The following is a 6,000-nucleotide window of genomic DNA, read 5'->3' on the forward strand; positions in this document are numbered from 1 at the left end:
ATAGCCAAACTGTTTCCTGGCACTCAGTTTTTCCTGTGTAAGATATAAGTGATAAGAAAGAAAAGTATTATTCATTAGACAAAACAACTCCTTGGGAATGTTATGAGGTCATGAGGCTTCTGTGTCTTTGGTTCCTCTTGCGCAGAGTTACAGGTGGTCAGAAAGGTGACTCTGAGGCATAATGTGGTCAAAGTCTTCAAAGATTAAACTTTCTAAGGCAGCAAGTTGGGCTGATGCATGTTAGAAAGATTGCAACAAGGATGGAAATAAAAAAGAGGTTTCTAGTTAACTCTCAAAAAGTGAGAAGGTTTAGTCTTTCACTTCCTAGCAACATTAGCTGGTCAAGGTTTTACAATAAGAGGGTCTATTTCCATAGTGTTTGTAGCTCACAGGATTCTTCACTGTTTTTTCCAGGTCTTATGTTGGCCCTTTGAGGATAGATGGCATTCAGATGAGGAGGGGATGCTCATTTAAGGATCCAAGGCTAAAGATTCATGGTGGTCTCAATGCCAAGAGAGGGAGAAATGGTTCCTAAAAACAGCAGCAGCAGTAACACAATAACGATTATTTCAACACAACCACCGTTTCTGAACCACTTACTCCATGCCAGATACCATGCTCTGCCCTTCTCCATCATTCCCGATAGGCAGCTAGGATGTCATCTCCTTCTGATAGAGGAACAGGGATTATCATCCCACACTTTTTAAAAATGGGGAACACAGGATGTGTGCTGAGCAATTGGAGTCTCATATTTAATTACCAGTGTCCCCCTCAGATGCACATGTATAGCACAGAGTTTGCTGTATTTTCTTTTTCTTCTGAGCATTTCAAAATATGTTAGGCGAACAGAATCACAGCACCACTGTGAGATCATTTTGTCCCTGAAATTCTCCCTCGTGAACCAGATTAGGCCTGCTCACTCTTGCCTGCTGTCTGGACATGGAGTTCTCACAATCATAGTGTAGTAGCTAACATTTATTGAGCACTTGCTGTGTGCGTGACCAGTAAGGTTGGCTATTTGAAAGTGCAACAGTGAATGCACTCTCATTATGTATATATTTATTCTAGGAAGTAGGTTCTTTTTCTTTTACTAGCTTTTTTTTTTTTTTTTTTTTTTTTTTAGATGACAAAAGCCAAGAGTTGGAGGCTTGGAGGGGTTCTTTGCCTTGCCAATTTAGTGGAGCCAATATTTCTGATTCCAGGAACTTTGCTTTTTTTTTTTTTCTTTCTTTCATATCTTGTCTTCCTCTCTTCCTCCATCTTTCTCCTTTTTTCTTCTCTTTCTTTTTAACTTTCTGTTATGGTAAATGTTAAACATTTACAAAAGTAGACAGAATTGTATAACAAACCCATATGTACCCTTTACCCAGTTTAAGCAAGTATGAATTCTTGGCCACACTCGTTTTATCTATACCCTCATGCGTCCCCTCCACCTTACCAATCTCAGGCATAGAGTGTTTTGTCTGTAATTATTACAACATGAATCTGTAGTAGAAGTTCCTGTGTCACATTTGCTGGTTTATCTCTGATTTCACCTGCAGCTGTAGCAAAAGTTTCTGTAGAGGCCAGACTCTCTCTGACAGTGACAAAGTCACTCCTAAAATGTGTGCTATGGGCATTTTCACTTTCTGGCTCAGGGCTTTCTCTGAAATGTGAGGAGTTATCAACTCATCCAATGGGGGATGGGAGACAATGTCCCAGACTCTCATCCTTCAGATGGACAATTCTGGGAGCGTTCTGTGTCCTTCTTAGAGGTATGCATGGAATCAGATCCCCGATGTCCACTGCTTTGACCTTGATGATGCACACTTTGATTGGCTTTTGCTACTTCTCTGTCTTACTCTCCCTCATACTTGACTCATGCTTCCTGGGATCATCTCTCAAACTACCTGAATCCAAGTCTTTGTCTCAGGCTCTGCTTTTAGAAACATCCAAGCTAAATCAGTATCTATAAAAAAATAAGAGTTTAACCTCCAACCCCACCCCCATCCCAATATCATTATCATGGCAAAAATAATAATTTCTTAATATCAAATATCAAGTCAGTGTTAGTTGTATTAATATCATAAACTAAATTGGGGGTTTTCTTTTCTCGTTCTTTCTTTTTTAAAGACAGGGTCTCACTCTGTTGCTCAGGCTGGGGTACAGTGCAGCCTTGAACTCCTGGGTTCAAGTGATCAGCCCACCTCCGTCTTGTGAGTAGCTGGGACTACAGACATGTGCTACCACGTTCATTCAATTAAACTTTTTTTTGTAGAGATGGTGTCTGACTATATTGTCCAGGGGGGTCTTGAACACCTGGCCTCAAGTGATCCTCCTGCCTCAGCATCCCAAAGAGCTGGGATTACAGGCATGAACCACTGTACCTGGCCCCTAGTGAGTTTTGATGGTAAAAAAATCTATCTGGGTTGACAAGATGTTTCAGGTTCATCTTGTATATTTCATTCCCTTGATCTTGAATTAGCTCCTAGGACCTTTCATTTCCTTTGTGGGGAAAGAATATTTTAATACTAAAATCTAGGCACTGGAGATGCTCAATATTTCTAGACTTTTCTATGTCTTTTAATTGCATACAATTAGGAAATTTGTTCTGTTTCTTTTATATGTTTTAAAATAAAATACATAATGAATTCATAGTGATACTTCTTTAAATCTAGCACTAAATGTCTTTCTGTCTCACAACTTTATCTCCTTTTTCCCACACGGAGAATCCCAGTTTTCAAGGACACCTGGGATGAGAGAATTTGAAAATCACATAATTGCTTATTTGCTTTATCCCACAATACAAATACTAATCTTACATAAGAATATCAACACCATCACTAACACTATGATAACTGTAAACATTTTCAGATTTGGATTTTCATTTTTTGCCTTTCTTTTTGTCCTTAGGTTTTATCCCACCCAGGATGTACCTCATAAAAGGCACCTGGGTTTTTTCTGGATATGGGAACCTGTGGTAGAAGGAAGCCATCTGTCTCACCAGAAAACAGGTCTGTCACACACTGCCCTGTCCATTTGGAATTTAGGACCTTCTATTCACAGCAGTAACAACCCAGAGAATCTTATTATGATCTTGATCCAAGTTTAGGTTCCAAACTTCAACTCTGGCTGTCTCATATTGAGCCTAAGGAATTCACTTCAGTGTTGTGGCCTCTCTGTCCCTCTCTTGAATTGACAACAGATGCCTAACTAAAAGAATTAACAAATTCCTTGTATCAGAAGGTGAGAGGATGTTCTCTCTTCATCTATTAGTGCAGAGAATATTCAGTCTGCCCTTGGAAAGAGAGAATCTTTGGTCGGAAAACAAGGTCCATGCCTCACACCATTATGCCCACTGTCCAGGCCCAACTTCTGGAATCAGGGAGTCTAGAAAAAGCTTCATCCATCAAGTGGCCAGACCTCCTGGCTGAGGTCTGTGCCACCAGCATCTCTGGTCTTCCTGTCTTCTTTATGGCCTTCAGGAACCAATCAGCTCTGCTGAAGTGGGTGAGATCCCAGATTCAAAGAAGTGGGCACAACTATTGGTCATCTGAACCTCTAAGGAAGAAGGAAGTGTGAATCACATGTCATTAGAAATAGCTCAAGCATCTGACAAAGAACTGTCTGACTGGGTGACTCAAAATGGCATGGGGCATGTGCCTAAATATCTCAACGGTATTCTTATCCCTGCATCCCCTGGTGTTCTGTTCTTCTCCTGCTATGGTGTCACTCTAAGCATCTCTGGAAAGTCCTGTGGAGGTTTATGCCCATGACTCAGGCATCCAACATGGATATGGTGGTAAGAAAAAACATTGAGCTCAATTTGAGACATGACATTAGCTGGAGCAGATAATGGAAGGCAGGGAAAGAGAGGAAATATGTGTGAATTTAGGCACAAAAAGAAAGAATACAGGATTGGGATTTGACTTATCCTTCCCTTGTGGCTGGGCCAAGGGAAGGCCATGAGTGCATGCCGGGTGCCTGCAAATGCTTAGCTGTGGGCACAACTTCTCACATTCTGTGACATCCTCTGTTTCCTGGCCTGTTCCCATGGGACTCTTCTGTCCTGACTTTTCATCAGGGATGGTCTCTGGGTGACTATTGAAGTGATTAAACCACTTCCTTAACTCTGATATAGACAGAGCCAAAGGACAGACTTGGATTTGCTGTCTTTCTCCTCCTCCCCGGCTTGTGCCTTTATCTTGTCCTGTATTAGCTCAAGAACCCATATGAGTCTCCAACTGCCAGAAATAGAAGTCCAGGCTCTGCAGTCAGGCACCCAAGACTGTCCCATCCTGACTGCCTTTGAGGGCCCTGTATGATCCTCCCAGGCCAGCCAAATGGTGGGTCTGCCACCCTAAGATTTCCTGCCCACATTTTCTTCTGCCACCACACCATGACCTTGGCAGTGCTCCTTCAGAGCCTAGTTTCATACTTACCTTTTCCCAATCTACAGGGATTTATTTTCCTTCTCAATCACAATAGCAACAGTCTACTCCATGTTCCTAGGACTCCCTAAGAACTTGTATCCTATTGAGATATCTTGCTACCATTTCATGCACGTGTATGTACATGTGTATGTGCAAGTGTGTATCTTGACTCCCAACTGACAAGCTCTCAAAGGTCAAAAGCCATTATTATCCTTCTTTGGAAAATCTCTGAAGTCACTAACACTATGTTTGTTGTAAAACAGAATGTTAAGGAACTTTTCCTATTGCTTGAGTATTGACAATCAGGATCTACAAATGAGGACAAAGTTTTGCATCCCAAATTTTGTGATGAGCCAAAAATATTTGGAAGGCAAGTGCCTATCTGGGTTTTTAATAGCTGTGCTACCATATCTACCACCTTATCGTCTCCCTCTGTTGCTTATTAATTTATATAGATCTGACAATTGGGTGTGGGCTGAGGAGTGTGGGATGAGGAGAAGGATTGCTGGAAAATTATTTGAGTGGTGAGTTGTCAGCCTTTCTCATCTCAGTGGGGACGGAGAGGTCTTTGTTCCACAGGAAACATTCCTTAGATGAGGGTGGTTCCTATAAGAAAAGGGAGGGAGATATTACATTTCCTGGCTGGAGGTCTTAATTAGCACAATTGATTAGCTTAATTAGCACAATTGACGATCTACCACTTGTACCTATTTTAGTAGTGAAGAAGAAAGGTGAGTAGAGATGCAAGTGCGGAGATTGGCCTCAGCAGCGGAACATGGCCAAGTATGTATGCATTTCACATAAGTCAAGTAGACCTGGAAGGTTCCTGGGATTGAGCTATCTTGCTGGTACCTCCTGCTGTCTGATGGATGTGATGACACCTGGCATAAGAGACTGGATATGAAACCATTAAGAGGTTTGAGCACACCAGAGGAGAAAATGTCCCAAAAAAAGGAGGAATGAAAAGGTGGAATATGCTCCCTCTCTCTTCTGGCCGTGGCTGGGTCTGAATCTGGGGAAGAGCAGGAAGTGAAACGGGAATTCATTTGGAAATGAGACTGAGGATTTAAATTGAGATTAGGAAGTTATAGAGCATATCCAACATATAAATAGGGGACAAGAGAAAGATTTGAGAGAACATCATTTAATACATCAATGGAAGAAAAACTGTTTTATATTTGAACTCTACTGAGTACAGATAATTTAATAAACATGTTCCATTGACTACATGACACTGATACAATTAATTTAATTATAATCTACTGATCTTCTCTCCTGACCACCACTCCCCACCACTTATTTCCTTATGGAATGCAAAACTAGGGTAGTACTAGATTCCATTATATCATGAGGCAGGGGGTTGTGATGACAATGGGCTGAGCATCACCTGATGAGCTCATCAATCTCATCAATAGAGAGGACATTGAATGAAAATATGTCTTCAGGGTCGTGACCTTTAAAAATTCTGTTACATGATGTTCAATATGTGTCTTGGAGCATCTTTAAGGGCTGTAGCAGTAGGTTAGAAGAGGCACTTGATGTATTTGGCTCTGGGCCCCAGTCCTGGCTTAATCAGAGATTTCAAATA

This window comes from Homo sapiens, chromosome 10 (assembly GCF_000001405.40).
Source record: "Homo sapiens chromosome 10, GRCh38.p14 Primary Assembly".
Lineage (NCBI taxonomy): Eukaryota > Metazoa > Chordata > Mammalia > Primates > Hominidae > Homo > Homo sapiens.